The sequence below is a fragment of the Homo sapiens genome, chromosome 3 (genome assembly GCF_000001405.40).
Source record: "Homo sapiens chromosome 3, GRCh38.p14 Primary Assembly".
NCBI lineage: Eukaryota > Metazoa > Chordata > Mammalia > Primates > Hominidae > Homo > Homo sapiens.
In genome coordinates, this window is record NC_000003.12 from 60,466,993 (window position 1) to 60,492,457 (window position 25,465).

General features: G+C 38.6%; 1 protein-coding gene across 6 annotated transcripts in view, besides 5 other annotated features; it reads right to left on the bottom strand.

Annotated features, from left to right (window-relative positions):
* Positions 1-25,465, bottom strand: part of FHIT (fragile histidine triad diadenosine triphosphatase) — a 1,504,176-nt gene that overhangs the window by 719,716 nt on the left and 758,995 nt on the right. The window lies entirely within an intron of this gene.
* Positions 8,693-11,689: an origin of replication, noted in NCBI's record as "Ori 1; region of peak nascent strand synthesis determined by microarray hybridization of labeled, size-fractionated nascent DNA". NCBI's record gives the evidence for it as "EXISTENCE:nucleotide analog incorporation evidence [ECO:0001107][PMID:19815620]".
* Positions 8,693-25,465: part of a biological region, named in NCBI's record as "origin of replication at fragile site FRA3B", that runs on past the window's edge.
* Positions 8,988-9,114: an origin of replication, noted in NCBI's record as "Ori 1; amplicon 3; peak of nascent strand synthesis determined by quantitative PCR of labeled, size-fractionated nascent DNA". NCBI's record gives the evidence for it as "EXISTENCE:nucleotide analog incorporation evidence [ECO:0001107][PMID:19815620]".
* Positions 20,049-23,005: an origin of replication, noted in NCBI's record as "Ori 2; region of peak nascent strand synthesis determined by microarray hybridization of labeled, size-fractionated nascent DNA". NCBI's record gives the evidence for it as "EXISTENCE:nucleotide analog incorporation evidence [ECO:0001107][PMID:19815620]".
* Positions 20,913-22,378: an origin of replication, noted in NCBI's record as "Ori 2; amplicons 5-7; peak of nascent strand synthesis determined by quantitative PCR of labeled, size-fractionated nascent DNA". NCBI's record gives the evidence for it as "EXISTENCE:nucleotide analog incorporation evidence [ECO:0001107][PMID:19815620]".

Below are 25,465 nucleotides of genomic sequence, written 5' to 3' on the forward strand. Positions count from 1 at the left end.
CATCAAATCTAGCGCTTTTCTTTGCTGAGCGACTTCATTATGGCATTGATCTCATTACTTCGTCTGTTCAGGTTTTGCATTTCTTAGTGGTTCAATCTTGGTAGGTTGTGTGTGTCTAGAAACATATCCATTTCTTCTAGGTTTTCCAATTTATTGGTATATAGTAGCTCACAGTATCTTCTAATGATCTTTGAATTTCTATGATATCAATTGTAATGTCTCCTTTTTCATCTCTAATTTTATTTGGGTCTTCTCTTTTTTTCTGAAGATTTGTCAATTTGATTTCTTTTTTCAAAAAAACAACTTTTTGTTTCATTTACCTTTTGTATTTTTTCATTTCAATTTCATTTATTTCTGCTCTGATCTTTATTTTTCCTTCTACTAATTTTGGGTCTGGTTTTCACTTGCTTTTCTAGTTGTTTAAAATGTATCATTAGTTTTTCTACTTTTTGATGTAGGCAATTACTACTATAAACTTTCCTCTGAATACTGCTTTCACCATATCTCATAGGTTTTGATACATTGCGTTTCCATTTTCATTTGTTTCAATATATTTTTAAAATTTTCTTAATTTTTTCATTGACCCACTGGTCATTCAGAAGCATATTGTTTAATTTCCATGTGTTTGTATAATTTCCAAAATTTCAGCTGTTATTGATTTCTAATTTTATTCCATGGTGGTCAGAGAAGATATTTGACATAATTTTTAAAAAAATGTTTTAAGATTTGTTTTGTGGCCTGAAATATGGTCTTTCCTCGAGAATGATCCATGAGCTGAAGAATGTGTACTCTGCAGCCATTGGATAAAATGTTCTGTAAATGTCTATTAGGTCCATTTGGTCTGTACTGCAGATTAAGTAAGATGTTTGCTGACTTTCTGTCTGGATGATATTTCCAATGCTGACAGTGGGTGAAGTCTCCAGCTATTATTGTATTGGGGTCTTATCTAATAATAACTTTACATAACATATATGAGTGCTCCAGTGTTGGGTGCATATATATTTACAATTGTTATATCTCTTGCTGAATTGACCCCTTTGTCATATAATGACCTTCTTTGTCTCTTACCATAGTTTTTGTCTTGAAGGCTATTTTGTCTGATATAAGCATAGCTCCTCCTGCTCTTTTTGGTTTCTATTTTCATGCAACATCTTCTTCCATATCTCTTTATTTTTAGTCTATGTGTGTCTTTATATTATAGGCGAAGTGTGTTCTTGCAGGCAACAGATCATTGCAGCTAGTTTTATTTATCCATTCAGCCACTCTACATCTTTCGATTAGAGTTTAGTCCATTTACATTCAATGTTATTATTGATGAATAGGATTTACTCCTGCTATTTTGTTATTTGTTTTCTGGTTGTTTTGTAGTCTTCTCTTTCTTCTTTCATTCCTTCCTGTCTTCCTTTTAATGAAGGTGATTTTCTCAAGTGATATGTTTTTATTGCTTGCTTTTTTATTTTTTCTAGATCTGTTTTAAGTTTTTGCTTTGAGTGTACTGTGAGGCTTGCAAATAACATCTTGTAACCCATTATATTAAACAGATGACAACACTGATTGCATAAACAATTAAACTAATAAAAACACTATACTTTTCATACCCCTGCTTTTTAACTTTTTGTTGTTTCTGTTTATATCATACTATCTATGTCTTGAAAAGTTGTGGTTATTATTTTTGATAGATTCATTGTTTAGTCTTTCCACTCAAGATATGAGTAGTTTACATACTACAATAGTGTTATGATATTCTTTATTTTTCTGTGTACTTACTATTACCAGTAAGTTTTCTACTTTCAGATAGTTTTTTATTACTCATTAACATCCTTTTCTTTCAGATTGAAGAAAGAATCCTTTAGCATTTCTTGCAGGATAGTTCTGGTGTTTTGTTTGTCTGGGAAAGTCTTTATTTCTCCTAAATATACATGTTTGAAGGATATTTTCACTGGATATACTATTGTAGGTTAGAAGATTTTTTTTCCTTGAGTACTTTAAATATGTAATATCACTCTCTCCTGGCTTGTAAGATTTCCACTGAAACATCTGCTGCCATACATTTTGGAGATCTTTGTTATTTCTTTTCTCTTGCTGCTTTTAGGATCCTTTCTTTATCTTTGACCTTTGGGAGTTCATTAAATGCCATGAGATAGTCTTATTTGGGTTAAATCTGCTTAGTGTTCTATTACCTTCCTGTACTTAAATATTGATATCTTTCTCTAGGTTTTGGAAGTTTTCTGTTATCCCTTTGAATTAACTTTTCTCTCTCTCTCTCTGCCTCCTCTTTAAGGCCAATAACTCTTAGATTGCCCTTTTGAGGCTATTTTGTAGATTCTGCAGGCATGCTTCATTGTTTTGTATTCTTTTCTCTTTTGTCTCCTCTGACTGTGTATTTTCAAACAGCTTGTCTTCAAGCTCACTAATTCTTTGTTTTGCTTATTTCTGCTATTAACAGACTCTGATGCATTCTTCAGTAGGCCAGCTGCATTTTTCAGCTCCAGAATCTCTGCTTGATTCTTTATATCTCCCTCTCTTCATTAGATTTGTCTAATACAACTCTGAACTCCTTCTCTGTGTTATCTTGGATTCCACTGAGCTTCTTCAAAACAGCTATTTTGAATTCCCTTTCTGAAAGCTCACATATCTCTCTCTCTCTCCAGGATTGGCTACAGGTGACTTAGTTTGGTGAGGTCATGTTTTTCTGGAAGGTCTTGATGCTTTGGGTGTTTGTCAGTGTCTGGGTTTTGAAGAGTTAGGTATTCACTGTAGTCTTTTCAGTCTGGGCTTGTTTCTGCCTATCCTTGGGAAGGCTTTCCAGGTATTTGAAGGGACATGGGTGTAGTCATCTAAGTTTTTGGTCACTTTACCCGTTTCTACTTTAGGGGTGCCCCAAGCCCAATAACACTGTGGCTATTGCAGGCTTGTACAGATACCACCGTGGTGGTCTTGGGTAACTTCCAGAAGAATTCCCTGGATTACCAGGCAGAGACTCTTGTTCTCATCCCTTACTTCCCTCCAAACAGATGAAATCTGTCTCTGTCTCTCTGTCTCTCTCCCCTCTCCTCTCTCTTTCTTTCTCTCTCTCTCTCTCTCTCTCCAGAGCTGCCTGAAGCTGTGGGAGGGGTGACACAAGCACTCCTGTGGCCACCGCCACTGGGACTATATTGGGTCAGAAATGAAGCCAGCCTAACACTGGGTCTCACCCAAGGCCTACAACAATTACTGCCTGGCTACCACCTATGTTAACTCAAGTCCCAAGGGTTCTGCAATAAGTATATGGGAAATCCTGCCAGGCTTGTGTCCTTCCCTTCAGGGCAGTAAGTTCTCTCTGGCTCTGGTCAGGTCCAGAGATGTTTTCTGGGAGTCACGGCCTGGAGTTGGGAAATTTAGAAATCTACTTGGTGCTCTATTCTACCGCAGCTAAGCTGGCACCCAAACCATAAGACAAAGTCCTTTCTGCCCTTCCCTCTCCTTTCCTCAAGCAGAGGAATCTCTCTGACCACCACTGCTCCGGGCACATGGAGAGTATTGCCTGGCTACCAATGACATTCACTCGAGGTCCAAGGGCTCTTCAGTGAGCTTGTGGTGAATGCTGCCAGTCCTGAGTCTCTCTCCTCAGGGAAGTTGTCTTTCCTCTGGCCCAGGACAGGTCCAGGAATGTCATTCAGGAGCCAAATCCTGAAATCAGAGATCCTAGGAGCCCACTTGATCCTCTGCCATACTGTGGCCAAACTGGTACCCAAGCGGCAAGATAAAGTCCTCTTTACTTTTCCCTCTCTTTTCCTCAAGCAGAAGGGATCTCTCCCTGTAGCCACCACAGCTGGGAATGTGCTGTTCACAACTGAAGCCAGCAGGGCTCTGAGTCTCACTCAAGGCCTGCAGCAAGTACTGCTTGGCTATCACTGCTGATTATTCAGGGCCCAGTGCTCTTCGGTTAGCAGGTGATGCACTCTGCAAGAACTGAGTCCCTCCCTTCATTCAAGGCAGCAGGTTCTCTTCCAGCTCAGGGTATGTTTAGAAACGCTGTCTGGAAGCCAAGGCCTAGAACAGAGGCCTCAGGACTCTGCCTGGTGCCCTATGCTACTATGGCTGAACTAGTATCCAAGTTGCAAAACAATATCCTCTTTACTCTCTCCTCTCCTCTTCTGAAACAAAGGGAAGAAGGAGCTGCCTGGAGCTGTGAGCTGTGTTGCCTAGAGTTAGTGGGGAGCAGCTCAAGCACTCCCTTCACCAGCTGATATCTTCTTAGGTCATGTGTACCCCAGGTCCACTGGTTCTGAGCTCAGTACAGGACCAGGACTTTCCTTGCAGTCCTTGTGGCCTAGACTGCCTTTCAAGTTTATTTAGAACTTCAGAGCACTTTAGCCTGTGGTGGTGGAGCTTGCCGGAACTCAGGTTCTGACCATTGGCATGGACAATTTGCCTCTGGCTAGGGCTGGTCTAAATGCTCCCTCCTTGGGAACCTGCTGAGTTCTTCCTGGTGTTGCTTTCTACTGTGACAGGGCAACACTGAGTTACAATACAAAGTCCCACAATCACTGCACTCTCCTTCCCCCAAGCACAAAGATTCTTTCTCCACGTCTCATGGACTGTGCAGGAGAATGGCGGAATGGTGACATCAACCATTCAAGACTGTCTTTTCTACCCTCTTCAGTGCCTCTTTCCTTAATATACTGTTAAAACCAGATACTGCAATCACCCACCTGGTCTTTTGTTCTTATGAAGGTACTTTTTTGTATGTACAGTTGTTCAATTTGGTGTTTCTGCCGGGGAACAACCACTGCAGGCTTCAATTTGGCCATCTTGCTCTGTCTTCCCCCTGCCACCCCACCCCTCTCACATTCTTGAAATGAGTAAAAAGCCTTCACGCTAAGCATGGCCATGGAATCTTCCCATGTTGAACTGTAAGATGAACAGAGTCATATTTCAAATAAAGAGATTAGGCTGACATGAATGATCATATTTTTAATAACTTATTAACCTAATTGCATGCCACAATTACATAGTGAGTTTTCATCTTTTAAATCAATTTTGGGGTGAGGGATGAAATACTACCTATTGGGTACAATGTTCACTATTCAAGTGATGGGTACACTTAAAGCCCAGACATCACCACTACACAATATATCCACGTAACGTAACTGCACTAGTAGCTCTCAGTCTACTTTTTTGTTAAAAAAAAAAAAGAGCAAAAACAACAGCAAGAGGAAAGATATATATTTAAGAAAAAAGCATTTCAATGAGGCAAAAACAACTGGTTCATCCTTAGGTCCTTAGGCCCATTTATTACTTCGAACTGTATGCCCACTTTTTTATTTTATAAAGGTTTGCATGTCTTCAAACTACATGCCCACCTTCATTTTGCAAAGTATTGTACAATGCTGTATTTTTTTTTTTTTTTTTGAGACGAAGTCTTGCTTTGTTGCCCAGGCTGGAGTGCAGTGGCGTGATCTCGGCTCACTGCAAGCTCCACTTCCCAGGTTCACGCCATTCTCCTGCCTCAGCCTACCGAGTAGCTGGGACTACAGGCACCTGCCACCTCGCCGGGCTAATTTTTTTGTGTTTGTAGTAGAGACAGGGTTTCATCATGTTAGCCAGGATGGTCTCGATCTCCTGACCTCATGATCCGCCCGTCTCGGCCTCCCAAAGGGCTGGGATTACAGGCATGAGCCATGTACAATGCTGTTTTAAAAGCAGCGCTCGTCTTTGCTGCCTTTCAACTTTACATGCTTTGGTTTCTCATAGAGAAAATAAAAATTGTTTTTAATCCTTAAAGAACTTCTGACAGGAGAGAAAAATGACTTGTGTGTCCCAAAGCCCCCAATCCCAAAGACATCTAAGCAAAACCAAGTTGGGGGTGGGGGTGGAGAATTTAAATAGCAGTAATTATCGTATCTCAATTTGCAAGAAAAACAAATGCCTCAAATACCATTATTCATTTAAGTTTTCTGACAACCTGACATTTATCTCCTTTAGTGCTATATTATAGAAATGTTTCTTATTATATTCATTTTCCAGAGACTGAGAACTTTTAAAACCAATGAAATGCATGTCCCAGAGTTGATCCTTTGCTTTAAAAAAAAGTTTGAAAAAGGAAAAGCTATTATGTTGATTACAAACCGAAGTGAGTTACAGTAAATGATGCAAAGAAATTTTGACAAATAGGTATATGCACTTGAAAGTGGTACTACTCTGCTCTCAAGGTGTTGCTGTTAAGATATGAACCAACGCTGAAAACTCCATATCCACAGATAGCTGGCTTCTTCGATAAAATTCAATTCAAATCAAAGAGTAATTAAAGCACTTAATTTGCATGAGCACTGTTCCAAGATTAACTAAAGGGCTGAGGGGAGCTGGAGGTGGGGAGCTCAATTAAGAACCTATTCAACATATTTCAAGAGAGAGGGACAATCTGAATTTAGGATATGGATGTGGAAATAGAAAGGGGAATGTGAGAGACATTATCAAGAGAGAATAAATACAATGTGAAGAGACAACCTGGGAGAAGGGAGAAAAATATTGCCAGGCTTAAAATACATGACAATGAAAAGGCCATTAACCAATAGGGCTAACTACAAAGGTGGTGCTTTGGTGGCAAAAAATTTTCTTTGGAAATACTGATTTGAGGTACTTGCACATGAAAACTTAACCTCAGCTGGGCGCAGTGGCTCACGCCTGTAATCCTAGCACTTTGGGAGGCAAAGGTTGGTAGATTGCCTCAGCTCAGGAGTTCGAGACCAGCCTGGGCAACACAGTGAAACCCCGTCTCTACTAAAATACAATAAAAATTAGCCAGGCGTGGCAGCATGCACCTGTATAGTCCCAGCTACTCAGGAGGCCGAGGCAGGAGAATTACTTGAACCCGGGAGGAGGAGGTTGCAGTGAGCTGAGATCACGCCATTGCACTCTGGCCTGGGTGACAGAGCGAGACTCCATTTCCAAAAAAAAAAGAAAAAAAGAAAACCTAACCTCACAGAGAATTGTACCTGGAGATGTATGGGGGAAAGACACATTATTTTGGAAACATTTAAAGAACCTCATACTCAGAACTAGAAAAAAAGACATCTTCATAAATTCTGATGCATTTTTCATCCTAATACCAGCAGTGACACAATCAGGACAGGGAATGTGTCTGCTTACCCAGCAATCAAGGAAGATGAAGGAGATGAAGCAGACAGAGGGCAGGGAGGGTCAACCCTGACTGCACCAGCACCAAAGGCTAGAGTTTCTTCTGGTATAGCAAAGCCTAAATAATTTTCTTCATTAAGCTTATTTTTTCATCCATGGGAAAAGGAACATGTGTTCATATTACATTAACTTGAAAAATTCAGAATTAATGAAAAAATAAGCCTCAGAATCTTAAATCAACTGAATATAGCAACAGAGAATAGATGAAGCCCCAAAGGGCTTCTGTCACACTCATATATAATAAAAACACCAGTCATGTTTACAGTTCAATTTTATAGAGCTAAATTGATGAGTAGTTTTGGAGTGTTCTAGAAATTCTACAATATTCATTTTTTATTGCAGTTTTTGAATTTATTAATAATTAGGCAAGAAATCATTAACTACATTTTCAAAACAGTAGAAGTAAAGCTTAGGAGGCTCATTTTCACAAATGTATTATTTTCAACACAATACAATTTTTTTTTTTTTTGAGATGGAGTTTCGCTCTTATCACCCAGGCTGGAGTGCAGTGGCACAATCTCGGCTCACCACAACCTCTGCCTCCCGGGTTCAAGAGATTCTCCTGCCTCAGCCTCCCGAGTAGCTGGGATTACAGGCGCCTGCCACCACACCCAGCTACTTTTGTATTTTTAGTAGAGACGAGGTTTCTCCATGTTGCTCAGGCTGTTCTCAAACTCCTGACCTAACCTGATCTGCCCACCTCAGCCTCTCAGAGTGCTGGGATTACAGGCGTGAGCCACCGCACCTGGCCAACACAATACAATTCCAATTTTTAAATAGTACTACTTAAATCACAAATACAACTGACTGTTATTAATACAATGAACCAGGTTGAGTTATCTGCCATTACTTACTTTAGAACTTAGCTCATGTCAGAAATATACAAAATACTCCTTTGATATAAACAGATAGCTTGGGGGAAAACGAAAAACTCTTATTAGAATTACTACTAGTTGCTGTAGCAACTGTCGAAGTGTTTTACTATGTGCCAGGCACTGGGCCAGAGACTCTTTGTTCATCTCTTTAATCTTCACTACATTTCTATAAAGTAGGTATCTTGAGATGTCCATTGTACTGAAAAGGAGACAAAGCAAAGGTTAGGGGAGTTAAGTAACTCAGTAACTTAAATGTTTTTCTCCCTTAGCTGAAATGATGCATGCCACAGGTTTGAAAAACATTCTTTCCCTATTCAATCATTTATTTAAGTGATAAACATTAATCTCAACATAAACAGAAAATAGATTGAATACTGTGATTATTACTTTGAAACCAAAGCTCCATCTTTAGAGAAACTCATACTGGCAAAGCAAACAAGGACTGATGAATTGGAGGTGCACTTGTGCGCTTAAAACTGCAGCAGCTGATGTAGGCACTGGAGGGGCTACAACCCAGGGACCCAGGTAGTTTGCAGAAATTCACAAGGTGCAGGGTATCAGTTTTGTCATCACTTTGATACCTGTCAACTTCATGGGCCTGGGCCAATCAGCCAACTTGCTCAAACCTCACGTTTCTTTCATGTAAATACAGGTTAAGCACCCCTACACCAAATACCCAATATCTGAAATGCTCCCAAATCTGACACTTCTTGAGTGCTGAGCTGACGCCACAAGTGGAAAATTCCACCCCTGACCTCATGTGATGGGTCATAATCAAAATGCAGTTGCATAACACAGTTTATTAAGAGTCTCCAAGGGGAAAAAGGCCCTTCCAGTCCCCTTCAGCGTATCTTTTCCACTCATGCCCAGATTTCCCTACACAAGCATGCCACAAAGTATTGTGTATTATGTGGGAAATAACACACAGGGAACTTGGCACAAGAACTGGCATACAATTCCCGAAATAGTAGAGCTGTCATCATCATTACTGGTTTTTATAGTAACTGTGACCCCAAAGAGTTAATAGAAGTGAGATAGTAGAAAAACTGATGGCTGTGCAGTCACAGAAATCTTCCAAGTCTACATCTCTCATTGAGGAGATATGCACCATTTGCAAAGTTATTTAACGTACCTGAGCCTCAGTGTCCCTGAGTGTAAAATATAAATAAAAATATTTCCCTGGTATGAGACAGAAAAATAGAGCTAATGTGTCAAAAGTACCACATGGAGAGACTGGAACACAGGAAGTTCCTATTACTGTTAGTATGAAGGCGCTTTAAGAACTCAAACTAGGCAACAGGTACAGGCCACAGGGGGAATAAACGCAAACGTCCAGTTAAAACCAAATCCAGACATAAGAGAAACTTTATTTGAAAAAGTAACTGCTATAAGGGGAGTGAGACTACTGCAATAGGGAGAGCTCTGGTCATGAGATGTGCAAGTAGCTCAACGATTGGGCAGAAAGGAATTTTCTTTTATAGGGAGGGGTAAGCAAGGCTAGAAAGATCAGCTGGGAGCACTGACTAGGGAAAGCTTCTCCTGAAGGTCAGCTGGTTCTCAGGAGGGGTATTCAAGGAGAGGCTGCTCTGCATCCCAATGCTGAAGGCATGGTCAAAGTTCAAGGGCCTAGGGAGCGAGACACACCTGACTGAAGTTTGGTTGATTATTTGGGCACTGGGTATAAACAAATCAGCTGACCATTTATAAGGCGCAGAACGGGAATGTGAAAACTCAGCTTCTGGCCTTGTCGGAGGTACTTAAGTGAGCATCATTTGGTCTCGTCCTGGACACCCGGGGAAGGATTTTTTTTTTTTTTAAGAAGCCTTTTCCAGAAGACAAAGGGTGGGGGATTTCTTCACCTAGTGCTATTTTCCAAAATACTTGGCTCAGGTAAAGCTCAACATTACCATAAACAGAACAAACTATATATATATATATGTATGGTTTGTATATGTTTAAGTACGTATATACAGTTTCGTTTACATGCATATGCTGAATATAGTTCAGTACTTTTAAGCAAAGTATTATAATATCATATTCAAACAATCACCACCTTTTTTTCCTACAAAAATAAGCAATGAATTAAAAGCAAGTCTGTCATTAACCCACGGTGAGGAAGGAGGAACAATTTTAACTACCTGAGGTCTTCAAAATGGATTTTTTTTTTTCAGTTCTTATTCTAATGCAATTTCCTGGTCAGAATCTTTTTATACATAACCTTGAATATAACAAAAACCAGGAAAATGGCTTGTACACAAAATGAAGGCTACTAAGAGCATGAGAAAATATTTCATTCTTTTCCTTTGATCATCTACTTTTCTTTTGAGAGAGATGCAGAGAGAGGATTTGAGTGTTTATGCCTGCCTTTGGATTTCTTTTGCTGGGTTTTCTATTAAGTCTTCTCTGACATCATTACTAGCTTATGCATACTGAATGTGTACTCTCTTGCCAGGCATCACACTAACCACACTATGTAATAATTTCTATAGATCTCCACACAGCTCAGTGAGAACAGTGCTACTGTTAAAAAGTTTCATATTAATGTCTGCATTTTAGATCTACTGCAAATAATCACATATTATTTTTCTGGTAGATGAATTTCATGCCAAAAGATTAACTTAACCTTTTATATACATATGTAAACAATCGGTATAGGCATGTAGATATAAACATGTATAGAACACAAACTTGCATTTGTCTCAGGAATCAGGTAGAGACCATAGTAAACATTTTTATCTTGGAAGGAGGGCAGAGAGCTCATCATCATCAATTCAGAACCTATAATGATTTTACCCAAACTTCTCTAATATGATAGGGAGCAACACTTTTTCACCCTGTTCATAGTACGAATGAAAGGTGAATTATCTTGGTCTAGTTTGAGTTCTGCTTGCTCACCCCTGGAAGGAGAAAGTGCATACCATAGAGAAGCGTGGAGATTCTTTGCTGGGTAATAGGAAATTGGTCTTCACAGCAGAAAATAATAATTGCAACAAAAGTACTAACAAAAATAATAACAACAATTAGAGCAACAATAAAAACTACAGCATTGACATACTGATTGCTCATAATATGCCAGGCACTGGATAAGCGCCCTATTTCACTACCAAACATAATTCTTCCAATAATCAGCAGTAACCTTATGCATCCCACTTACAGATGAAGAAATGAGACAAAGGAAGTTCACACAGCTACCAAAATTGGGAACCAGGAATTAACCTCAGGCAGTGTGACTGCACAGCCAGGGCCCTTCCAAACAATTGGTTAACTAACCTGGGTCTTTTGCTGGCCAATGTATCGGGGAATAATCCTAGCCAACAAATTCAAGGGAAACGGAATCAAGCAAATATGAATGAACTTCATTTACTGAAAACAAAGTAGGCTTTGATAGGACTGTGTTACCATCTCTAGACCTAACTATGATTATGTCATTTCTTAGTGCCTCTTGCGGCAAAGAAAGTGCACTTTACATAAAAAAACAATAGAATGCATCTGGCAGAAGTATGAGAAGAGTAACGATCATGGTGATGGTGGTGATGATGATGATGATGACAGCTTCAAGAGCAGCAGGGTAAGGATGCCACTAAAATCACCACCATTTATGTGCCAGGCATTATGATACAGTCATTACATATAACCTTTTTCTCCCACTATATTGCATGCTGCTTCACTTACCTTGTAAAACATTTTAGACATAAAAGGTGCTCCATTTTTTTGCACAAATGAACAAATACATGAAATAAAAGTATGTTGAAGGCACAGAAAAAGTATTCATAAAAGACAAACTCAAAATTCCCAATGACACAGAGAGTATAATCACACCACATATCAAATCCAAGCCACATAGCACAGAGTGTGCTATTGAAATGAAACGCAATATAACTATTGCTCTGGGAATTACAGATGGGATCCAGTAAAAGACACTGTATTAATTATATTGTTTTCCATGGAACTTTTCTAAGGTTGCCCAGGACAGCAACACTGTAGAACATTCATGATGAAACTGTCAAAGAGGACTAGACTTGAGGGGCCTTAGGGAGAAAAGAGATTTGAAAATAATGTACTGCTTGCCCATGGTTCAGACGTGCCTTTCTCTGCAAGTATGATCACATTATTGATTCTCAAAGGAAGAAAGAAAATATGACTTTGTCCCTTAACTGACATCAAAGTTACAGTGTTATGCAGTGATGCCCAAAAGCATTTGCAAATATTCAGAAACAAAGTTTTGAGTGTCCTAGGAGATGACTATCATACCAATTGATCCAAAACACAATGGTCAAGAGGCATGGAAAACCTATGGTTGGGGAGGGAGAGGAAGGGTCATAAATATATACAGTCATGCACCACGTAATGACATTTTAGTCAATTTACTGGATATATGATGGTGGTCCTATAAGATTATAATGTATCTGGAAAATTCCTATTGCTTAGTGACATCCTAGCTGTCTTAATGACATAGCACAAGACATTACTTATGTGTTTGCAGTGATGCTGGTATAAATGAACCTGTGCTGCCAGTCATATAAAAGTATTGCATATTAGGTACAGCAGGGGTCCCCAACCCCCTGGCTGCAGATCAGTGCCCATCTGTGGCCTGTTAGTACAGTGGGAGGTGAGCAGTGGGTGAGTGAGCATTACTGCCTGAGCTCTACCTCCTGTCAGATCAGAGTCGGTATTAGATTCTGATAGAAGCATGAACCCTATTGTGAATTGCACATGCGAGGGATCTAGGTTGCATGCTCCTTATGAGAATCTAACTAATGCCTGAATATCTGAGGTAAAACAGTTTCATTCCAAAACTGTCCATCCCCCATGACCCCTGTCTGTTGAATAATTGTCTTCCATGAAACCAGTCCCTGGTGCCAAAAAGGTTGGGGGCTACTGACGTAAAGTACATAATACTTGATAATGATAATACGTGGCTATACTGGTTGATGTTGTATTAGTCCATTTTCACAATGCAATAAAGATATTACCAGAGACTGGGTACTTTATGAAGAGAAGAGGCTTAATTGACTCACAGTTCCACATGGTTGGGGAGGCCTCAGGAAACTTACAATCACGGCAGAAGGCAAAGAGAAAGCAAGGTATGTCTCCCACAGTGGCAGGAGAGAAAGAGAGAGAAAACCAGCAGGGGAGAGTCCGGAGACTTATCAAATAACCACATCTCATGAGAACTCCCTCACTATCATGAGAACAGCATGGGGGAAACTGATCCAATCACCTCTCTCCAGGTCTCTCCCTCAACATCTGGGGATTACAATTCAAGAGGAGATTTGAATGGCAAGACAGCCAAACCAAATCATTCCAGTGCTGGTCCCTCTCAAATCTCATGTCCTTTGCACATTTCAAAAGGCAATCATGCCTTCCCAACAGTTCCCCAAAGTCTTAACTCATTCTAGCATTAACACAAAAGTTCACATCCAAAATCTCATCTAAGACAAGGCAAGTCCCTTCCACTTAGGAACCTGTAAACTCAAAAACAAGTTAGTTACTTACAAGATACAATGGGGATATACAGGCATTGGGTAAATGTTCCCATTACAAATGAGAGAAATTGGCCAAAACTAAGGGGACACAGGTCCCATGCAAATCCGAAACCCAGTGAGGCAGTCATTAAATCTTAAAGCTCCAAAATGATCTCCTCTGACTCCATGGATCAAATCCAGGGCATGCTCATGCAGGAAGAGGGATCCCAGGGCCTTGGGCAGCTCTACCTCTCTGACTCTGCAGGGTACACCCCTCTCCCCCAACTCCCCAACGGCTGCTTTCACAGCTGTCGTTGAGTGTCTTTGGCTTTTCCAGGTGCACAGTGCAAGCTGTTGGTGGATCTACCATTCTGGGGTCTAGAGGATGGTGGCCCTCTTCTCACAGCTCCACTAGGCAGTGCCCCAGTGGGGACTCTGTGTGGGGACTCTGTTTGGGGGTGCCAACCCCACATTTCCCCTTTGTACTGCCCTAGCAGAGGTTTTCCATGAGGGCTCTGCCCCTGCAGTAGAATTCCGCCTGGACATCCAGGCATTTCCATACATCCTTTTATATCTAGGTGGAAATTCCCAAAGAGTTCCACAAGACTAGAGAAAAAAGAATGAAGAGGAGTGAACAAAACCTCCAAGAAATATGGGACTTCATAAAAAGACTGAATCTACAACTGATTGGAGTACCTGAAGGGGATGGGAAGAACGGAAACAAGCTGGAAAACACACTTCAGGATATTATCCAGGAGAGCTTCCCCAACCTAGCAAGACAGACCAACATGCAAATTCAGAAAATTCAGAGAACACCACTAAGATACTCCAGAAGAAGAGCAACCCCAAGACACATAATCATCAGATTCTCCAAGGTTGAAATGAAGGAAAGAATGTTAAGGGCAGCCAGAGAGAAAGGCCAGGTCACCAACAAAGGGAATCCCATGAGACTAACAGTGGACCTCTCAGCAGAAACTCTACATGCCAGAAGAGACTGGGGGCCAATATTCAGCATTCTTAAAGAGAAGAATTTTCAACCCAGAATTTCATATCCAGCCAAACTAAACTTCATAAGCATAAGAGAAATAAAATCCTTTCCAGACAAGCAAATGCTGAGGGATTTCATCACCACCAGGCCTGCCTTGCATGAGATTCTGAAAGAAGCACTAAATAAGGAAAGGAGAAACAAGTACCAGCTGCTGCAAAAACACACCAAAATATAAAGAACAATGGCACTATGAAGAAATTGCATCAAATAGTATGCAAAATAACTAGATAGCATCATCATGACAGGATCAAATTCACACATAACAATACGAACCTTAAATGTAAATGGGTTAAATGCGCCAATTAAAAGACACAGACTGGCAAATTGGATAAAGAGTCAAGACCCATCAGTGTGCTGTGTTCAGGAGACCCATCTCACACACAAAGACACAAATAGACTCAAAATAAAGGAATGGAGGAAAATTTACCAAGCAAATAGAAAGCAAAAGAAAGCAGAGCTTGCAGTCCTAGTCTCTGACAAAACAAACTTTAAACCAACAAAGATCAAAAAAGACAAAGAAGGTTATTACATAATGGTAAAGGGAACAATTGAACAAGGAGAGCTAAGTATTCTAAATATGTATGCAACCAATACAGAAGCACTGAGATTCATAAAACAAGTTCTTACAGACCTACAAAGAGACTTAGACTCCCACACAATAATAGTGGGAGACTTTAACACCATACTGTTAATATTAGATCAACAAGACAGAAAATTAATGAGGATATTCAGGACATAAACTCAGCTCTGGAGGGCTCTGGATCAAGCGGACCTAATAGACAGCTACAGAACTCCCTACCCCAACGCAACAGAATACACATTCTTCTCAGTTCCACGTGGCATTATTCTAAAATCGACCACATAATTTGAAGTAAAACACTCCTCAGCAAATGCAAAAGAACTGAAATCATAACAGTCTCTAGGACCACAGTGCAATCAAATTAGAACTCATGATTAAGAAACTCACTCAAAACCACACAATTACATGGAAATTGAACAACATGATCCTGAGTGAATCCTGGGTAAATAATGGAATTAAGGCGGAAATCAAGAAGTTCTTTGAAACCAATGAGAACAAAGAGACAACATATCAGAATCTCCGGGACACAGAGTGTCCCAGTGTTAAGAGGAAAATTTGTAGCACTAAATGCTCACATCAGAAAGCTAGAAAGATCTCAAATCAACACCCTAACATCACAATTAAAAGAGCTAGAGAGGCAAGAGAAAAAAATCCAAAAGCCAGCAGAAGACAAGAAATAACTAAGATCAGAGCAGAACTGAAGGAGATAGAGACACAAAAAACCCTCCAAAAATAAAATAAATGAAGACAAGAGCTGGTTTTCTTGAAAAAAATAAAAAATAGACAGCAAGCTAGATTAATAAAGAAGAAAAGAGAGAAGAATCAAATACACACAATAAAAAAATGATAATAGGGATATCACCACTGACACCACAGAAATACAAACTACCATAAGTGAATACTATAAACACCTCTATGCAAACAAACTAGAAAATCTAGAAGAAATGGATAAATTCTGGGACACATACCCCCTCCCAAGACTAAACCAGGAAGGAGTTGAATCCTTGAACAGACCAATAATAAGTTCTGAAATTGAGGCAGTAATTAACAGTCTACTGACCAAAAAAAGCCCAAGGCCACATGGATTCACAGCCAAATTCTACCAGAGGTACAAAGAGGAACTGGTGTCATTCCTTCTGAAACTATTCCAAACAGTTGAAAAGCAGGGACTCCTCCCTAAGTCATTTTATGAAGCCAGCATCACCCTGATGCCAAAACCAGGAGGAGACACAGTGAAAAAAGAAACTGTAGGCCAATATCCCTGATGAGCATCAATGCGAAAATCCTCTGTAAAATACTGGCAAACCAAATCTAGCAGCACATCAAAAAACTTATCCACCACGATCAAGTCAGCTTCATTCCTGGGATTCAATGGTGGTTCAACATACGCAACTCAATAAACGTAATCTATCACATAAACAGAACCAAAGACAAAAACCACATGATTATCTCAATAGATGCAGAAAAAGCCTTTGATAATATTCAACATCCCTTCGTGTTAAAAACTGTCAATAAAGTAGGTTTTGATGGGACATATCTCAAAATAATAAGAGCTACTTATGAAAAACCCATAGCTAATATCATATTGAATGGGTAAAACCTGGAAGCATTCTCTTTAAAAACTGATACAAACAAGGACACCCTCTCTCACCACTCCTATTCAACATAGTATTGAAAGTTCTGGCCAGGGCAATCAGGCAAGAGAAAGAAATAAAGAGTATTCGCATAGGAAGAGAGGAAGTTAAATTGTCTCTGTTTAGAGATTACATGATTTTATTTTTAGAAAACCCCATCATCTCAGCCCCCAAACTCCTTAAACTGATAAGCAATTTCAGTAAAGTCTCAGGATACAAAATCAATGTGCAAAAATCACAAGCATTCCTTTACACCAACAATAGACAAGCAGAGAGCCAAATCATGAATGAACTCCCATTCACAATTGCTACAAAGAGAATAAATACCTAGGAAAACAGCTAACAGGGGATGTGAAGGACCTCTTCAAGGAGAACTACAAACCACTGCTCAAGGAAATAAGAGAAAACAAATTGGACAACCTTCCATCCTCATGGATAGAAGGAATCAGTATCATGAAAATGGCCATACTGCCCAAAGTAATTTACAGATTCAATGTTATTCTCAAACTACTATTGACATCCCTCACAAAATTAGAAAACACTACTTTAAATTTCATATGGAATCTATGAAGACCTCTGTATAGCCAAGACAATCCTAAGCAAAAAGAATAAAGCTGGAGGTATCAGGCTACCTGGCTTCAAACTATACTACAAGGCTACAGTAACCAAAACAGCATGGTACTGGTATCAAAACAGAGATATAGACCAATGGAACAGAACAGAGGCCTCAGAAATAAAACCACTCATCTATAACCATCTGATCTTCAACAAACCTGACAAAAACAAGCAATGGGGAAAGGATTTCTTATTCAATAAATGGTTCTGGGAAAACTGGCTAGCCATATGCAGAAAACTGAAACTGGACCCCTTCCTTACACCTTATACAAAAATTAACTCAAGATGGATTAAAGACTTAAATGTAAAACCCAAAACTATAAAAACCGTAGAACAAAACCTAGGCAATACCATTGGGCAAAGACTTCATGACGAAAATGCCAAAAGCAATTGCAACAAAGGTCAAAATTGACAAATGGGATCTAACTAAACTAAAGAGCTTCTGTACAGCTAAAGAAACTATCATCAGAGTGAACAGGCAATCTACAGAATGGGAGAAAATTTTTGCAATCTACGCATCTGACAAATGTCTAATATCCAGAACTTACAAGGAACTTAAACAAATTTACAAGAAAAAAACAACCCCATCAAAAAGTGGGCAAAGGATATGAACAGACATTTCTTAAAAGGAGACATTTACATAACCAACAAACATATGAAAAAAAGCTCAACATCACTGATCATCAGAGAAATGCAAATCAAAACCATAATGAGATACCATCTGAAGTCAGTCAGAATGGTGAGTACTGAAAAACCAAGAAACAACAGATGCTGGTGAGGCTGTGGAGAAATTAGAATGCTTTTACACTGTTGGTGGGAATGTAAATTAATTCAACCTCTGTGGGAAGACAGTATAGTGATTCCTCAAGGATCTAGAACAGAAATACCACTTGACCCAGCAATCCCATTACCAGGTATATGCCCAAAAGAATATAAATCATTCTACTATAAAGACACATGCACACTTATGTTTAGTGCAGCGTCATTTACAATAGCAAAGACTCAGAACCAACTCAAATGCCCATCAATGATAGACTGGATAAAGAAAACGTGGTGCATATACACCATGGAATACTATGCAGACATATAAAGGAATGAGATCATGTCCTTTGCAGGGACATGGAAGAAGCTGGAAGCCATCATCCTCAGCAAACTAACAAAGAACAGAAAACCAAACACCACATGTTCTCACTCATAAGTGGGAGCTGAACAATGAGAATACATGGACACAGGGAGGGGAACAACACACACCAAGGCCTGTTGGGGGTGGGGGGCAAGGGGAGGGAACTTAGACAACAGGTCAATAGGTGCAGCAAACCACCATGGCACACGTATACCTATGTAACAAACCTGCATGTTCTGCACGTGTATCCTGGAATCTAAAGTAAAATTTTTTTTAAATAAAGAAATGGACAACTCTCTAGAATCAAACACCTTGAAATTCCTTGAATAATTAAGGACCCACGGATTGTTCATCTTTTCATATACAGACCCCAACCTATAATTACTAATTACTAATTGCAGTGAGATCAGAGAAAAAATAAATGAAAAGTCTACTTTGGAGTCAAAGATATGGTTATTTCAAAGAACAGTTTCCCTATCAATAGTCATTTGTCTAAGACTATATTGATCAGCATGAAGTGGCACATTATAGAAGACACTTCTGCACACCTGTTACAGAAAAGCCTCCTCACAATGCCTATTTCTACTAACTAATCTATGCTGTCCACTCTAATAGGAACTGAAAAAGACACCATTTCCTCAATTTGATAGAGGATACAGTAAATATTTACACAACACTTAAAATGAGAGAGTATATAAACAATAATAGAAAACAGGTAATTCAGGGCTAGAATTTCCAATAAAAAATTTTATTTTGTTTTTGTTTTTTAATTAGAGGAAGAGAAAGATCAAGCCATATGTCAGATGTACTTCATTCTTTTTTCACAAAAGCATTATCTAGTCATAAAATAGAGGATCACAAAAAGAGCTGAACTGATCATAAAAAGTCTGTATTTCCTGTGCACTACAAACAACCATAATCCCTTGAACAATTCCCCAAAGCTCCTAACATCAAACATTAATCAGTCAGTTTAGGATCCATCAGCAAATTTAGGATACCTCCAAAGGGGCCTGACAGGTTAGGCAAAGAAAGCATTGCATACCATCAGTTCTTTCACTGATAGCTAAAGATCTATAGGTCAGAGAAGGGCAGGCTCTGATGTCTCCTCCATTAATTATTGAAGGTAATATTCCAGATGCTAGTAAATCTTAATAACTTCAAATATCAGCTTCAAAGATGTACTTTTGATGAACAAAGCCAAAACACTTCTCCTTATCAAAAAGACATGTTATAATGCATATTTTATCTTTCAACGGATATCCTCTCACCAATAAACGTGATCTTTGATCCAAAAATTCTTAGTAATGCCACTAAAATTTCTCAAAACAAAGTCAGTTTAAACGTGCTTCAGTTAAAACCACTGCCCTATTGCTCTAAAAGAAACATTACAAAATGCAACTACAGACTGTCAATTTTTCAACAACTTTGGGAGTGACTGTTTAGACACTGTCAAATGATTTCTAAGCAACCCTGCCACAAGCAGACTGGCTTGCTATAAACACAAGGTGTAGGATACATAAGAACTAATATTTGTTAAGGAATTTCTGTGTGCCAGACTCTTGGCTGATCTCTTTGGGTTTGATTGAATCGAATAGTCATCACAATCTGCAGAAAGGTTTGGTGACTTGATCGCAAGAACCTGGCTAGTAAGGGACTGAGTAAGAGACTTCACTAGGCAAGTTAAAGTGCTGCTCTACACTCCCATTGCTGTCTCTGTACCCAGCACGTGGGCACAAATGTAAGAGCCTCGTGAAGGAAAGCATAAGCAAGAACACACTGAGCAGCTCTAGGAAGCTCCTTAAGGTAGAATGAGAAACTTACTCAGGCAGGCTCCTGCAGTTGCACAATTATCATTCTTCTTAAGTGTGATTACTGCTCAAAGTCAGAAACATCAAATGTGGAAATATTATCCAAGTAGGGGATCCATCCATGAAAGCAACAATTGAGAGACTTCTACATTCTGCTCTACGACACCTGGAAGGCTCATCTCCGAAGTCACATTCTTTCAAGATGGTTTGAACAAAATGCAGATCTTTGGTGCAGCAATTAATAGGTACAGTTATGTATACTTCAACAGGCTGAATGTAATCTATCTTGAACTTGCCTTTCAATTACTCCGTGCTTGGAGCTTCCTGCAGTGCCTGACTATCTCAAAGTTGCTAACGCAGGGAAATAAGCCTATCAGAAATTCAAAACACTTCATCATCACATTTTAATCATACAAAATAGTAAGTCCTGAGTTTAGCTCATTCCTTGACAAGTCAGAGATGATGAAGTCTTTAATGCTCACCTATTTATACAGCAATCTTTCCTCCTAATTCCGTCTATCCTATTCTGTTATCTCAAAGATATAACCAGGTGACAGAGTTCAAGTTCATTACCAAGAGAATGTATTTCTCCAGCCAAAGCAAATAGAATTTCGATGAAACTTCTAAGTACCTGTTATAAATGCCAAGTATTAAAGGTTCTTTATTCAGCTATTTACAAGACCATCTGTGAAGCCAACATTCTGTGATCCAAATGCAGATGTTCTATGAAGGAAGGCAAGGCTAAAAAAGAAAATCCTGACAAGGCCCGTGCAGCTACTTAAAGCATAAAGGGAAGTGCAATGGTCTTACGATTTAAATATAAACCTTTGTTAAATGATGAGGAAACCACAGCAGCAGGGACCTGCTAAACAATCACTCGACTCCTGTGATTGAGCTAAAAGATTATATTTGAGATGCTCGGTCCATCGACATATTTACTGAGCCCCTGTTATGTTCCTAGTGTGTTCCAGGCACCATAGCATTATTGTAGGCCTGGCTCATGTATGCTGTGATTTGGTGTTTACCTTCGATTCTGAAGTTTAGAAAACCTCTTAACAGGGCTTCAAGATACTTTTCTCTTGTATCTGATTCCAAGTAACCCTGTATTTACTCAACCAACAGTCACTGTAGGACTATTCAGAAGTCATGTTAAGTAAAAGGTGGGTTACCTAGAAGCTGACAGTGTCACTGGAGCGGGGTCTTGAGGATCTAGACATTGGTTCTGTGGTTGCTTAGAAAGGTCTGGGGGCCATGAGGGAGGGCCTATGACAGCAGGGTAGGGGATATTCTCAGAGCAATAGCTATGTACAATAGAAATATTTCAATCTTTTAATTACCAGTGTGACTAAACAGAACCTCAGCAGTCCTATGTTGCCTAGTATACATAAATATTTAAGTCCAAGCCCTATATTCAGGCAGCTCTCCAGCTAAATAATATGCTATAGAATTATCTAACTTTCTCTATCAAGTTCAATAGATTGAGAGAAAGACCAGTTATCTAACAGCCAGAAGGAAAATCAAGATAAAAACTTGGTGTTAAGTTTTTATGTAAAACATGAAACTATAATATTTTGCTGAATAATTTCAATGACTGCAAATGAACAAAATCTATTCCACCTTTTGGAATCCCTTTTCAGTTTTAATTCATATATTCCACACTTTCTGCTACAGAGATTTCCATCATGGGTCAAGGATTGAACCAGATGATGTCCAATGAGTTGGGATTTCCAAGAGAGACCATGAGCAGTGCTAAAAAGTAGACATTTTGTCACAATATTTAATAAATAGCATTCATTAGAAAAATATTATCCCCCTTTAAGCAAATACTATTATTATTTCTCTCTATAATAGAAACAGAGTTCTAACATAATAGTACCTATTCGTTTTACTCAGAGGCATCAATCCTAATTGGAAATTTTTAAAAATCCAGCTCAAGTTGCAATTCACAGAGGTGGCAAATCTCCTTTAGAGGGCACAGAAATGTACATATGATCTCATTTTAAAATGTGTGTGTATACTTTTTATTTCTGAGAAAGCAACAAAATCCTGGCTTCCAATAATGTCCAACTTAATGGAGCATAACTTAAACTCCTTTTAACAAAGTTTAAATTTTTAAAAGCCCACTGAATTAAAGACATCATGACTAAGACCAAGCTGGAGTGCTCTAGAATCTAGCTTACAACTGTTTGGCCTAAGGAGCCTATAGCATTGACCCTGCATACATTAAAGCCACCTGTGCTCAAGTCCACTTATCACTCACACCTGCTTACACCATGCTACTGCTCACTACAATACCAATAAGAACATCTGCCTGCTTTAGATAAAGATTCTCTGCACATCTAAATTAGAATAACAAGTTTTTGAACTATTATTGCAAAAGAAACAGCAGTCAATGTGGTAATTTTTGGGGATCTCTGCCTAGGTTTCATTAGGCTCACCCTAATGTCTTTTTCAGTTTTGGCAGGAGGGCCTGTGCCTGTTTTCATAGCCAAAAGACTGCCATACTCACAAATGGCCAAAAAGTATGAAGAAATCCTTCAAGTTTCCCAGGCACTGAACAGGAGGCTCCAAACCAAGTCATCTGCTTGGAGTTTTTATTACTCCAAGTTCTGTTATAAACTGTACCTCAGTGCTCTTCATGTACGACATGACAGGCAGGAAATCATCCTTACAGCTTTCACATTTAACAAGGCTACTTTTGACCAAAATGAGCAATGAATTTCAAAATACAGGGACATGGCAAAGTGCTGTAACTCGGAATTAAACAAATCAACACCAAGAAACAATATTCTACTAGCAATTCGGTAATCACAGGCAAAGATGATAAATATCCATAATGTTTTTATAAGCCACAAACATGGTTTAATCTAATCTTACACTGTTTGTGTTTATAAAGCCAAGACAAGGGTGATCATCTAATATTTTCATAACATCTAGTAGAAGGTAGTTAAAAAGATGTTACATTAGACATCGTTACTGCTTCAAAATAAACTCTCACCTTAGTTAACAAAATGTGTTATGGGTTCTGTGCACATCTGTTATAGGTACCACAGAGACACTATAGCTACTGAACTCGTATGTGTGCTAGACATTCCATTTTGCTTTTTAAAAAATATATAACAACCTATTATTTATTTACCATAATTATCTCCATTTTACAAAAGTGAGAAGGCTTAAATTTATTTTCCCCAATCCAAAACTGTAACTACTCCAGCCCAGGTGTCTCTTTTAAACCTCTTGCTCCGTCTCCACAGACTTCAACATGGAGGAAATTCAGGGGATAAACTATATCCAAAGCAGCCTCAAAGATTCAGGCAGTAATTTCATTATCATGTCTTACTTGATTTGTACCAAAAAAAAAAAAAAAAGATTAGATTTCAGTTTCACGTCTTCTGTCTCTTACTAATTCAGGTACTAAAAACAGTTGGTATTTACTGAGTGCTTATTTTGCTCTAAGCCCTTCACATGATTTAACAAATTCCCAAAACAACCCTACAGGGTAGATAGTAGCATCATGCTACTTTGCAGGTGAGGATACAGGTATAAAGATGTTAAGTAACTTGCACAGGTAGCCAATTTGGGCCCCTAACTAAGGCAGTCTGGTCGATGCTTTGACCTTTGTGCTACCTTTCCTCTACCTCTGAAGACAAAAGGTAATTGCAAAATAAAAGTATGATATGCTGAGAAGCAAATAAACTAGATCTGGTAACCCAAAAAGTATATGTTGCACTCAAGCCCTCCTTGCAGTACCAAACCCACAAAACCAAATGGTGCTGAGTTGTGCATTAGAAACAGGTTAAAAGACCTATTAAATAAGCTCAGATCTGAAAGGTAAACAATAAGCTACTGAAATATGATTTTTATTAAGCAATAGCAAACAAGTCTATTTACATTTCAAGAAAGAAATGGCAATAATTCATTAGCAAGACAAAATAGAGTCAACCAAACCGATGTAGTTTCTCTCTCCACACACCCACTCCCTTACACACATACTAGCAGCCCTATGAAAAACAGGGTTATAATAGAAATGCTGACACAACCAACCTTATAATGTTTCATACGAAAAGCTACAATTATATTTTCTAATTGTAAACTGGGTGAAAAAAAAAAGGCCAACCAGAACAAAAACATAATAACTACCTAGAAACAGTCCATCAGAATTCTTGGATTATGAAAAATGCATATAAAACACTATTATCTTCAGCCACAGCCAGAAGATGTCAGACAATCAATTCATATAACATGCCAGCTTAATAAAATCTGCATACAAAATTTATGAATGCAGTAATATTCCTTTATATCACAAGTTATTAATGGTCAATTTAATGAACATCTACAGCTGGAGTGCTTTCGTTCTGTATGATATTTTAATCATTTTTAGCCATGGATTTAAACGCATTTCATTTTATAACCATCAGCTAGTGAAGATAAGAAAACCTTTACACAAATAACTGAAATATTTGGGGTAGGCCACCAATTTTGTCTTTATGTTGTTATTTATTTCCTTAAATTTTTTTTTACAACAGAAACACAATGAAATGTTCCATTATAACAATATTTGATTTAATATTTGTATTTAGAATATGAAAAGTTTGCTTAAAGTAGCATTACATGTTTGGCTAGCATAAAATCTTCCATTTCATTTCAAATAAAGAACTTTCTAACCTCGTTTATGTGAAACAATCTCGCTCAGAGCTATTATCCTCCAAAAACTATCCTGGTGGAATGTTGACATCTCGGACATAAATATTCTTGAAAATTAATGTGTTGTATTTCTTAAGTATCCTATTTCCACTCACTTGTTCACATAATCTTTAAAAATCCTATTGTGTTCAAGTCTACTTTTCCCACAGATTCTTTACTAAAACTAAATTTTACTATATGATGCTTATGTGGAAGGAACAGGCAACATAACTGCAAGACAACAGTAGCTATCTGAAAATACAAACATTCAGCATTTAAAATATTGATGTCTTTCTGTGGTCACAAAGTCAAATAATTGTTTCTCACATTTGAGCATTAGAATTTGGTATTTAAAATTACACTCATCCTTCAGAGTTAATTGAAAGATTTGGATATATAGGAAAAAGGTTAAGAAATCTAGGTCATAAATACTTCTTAAGGTGCAAGAATTGGCT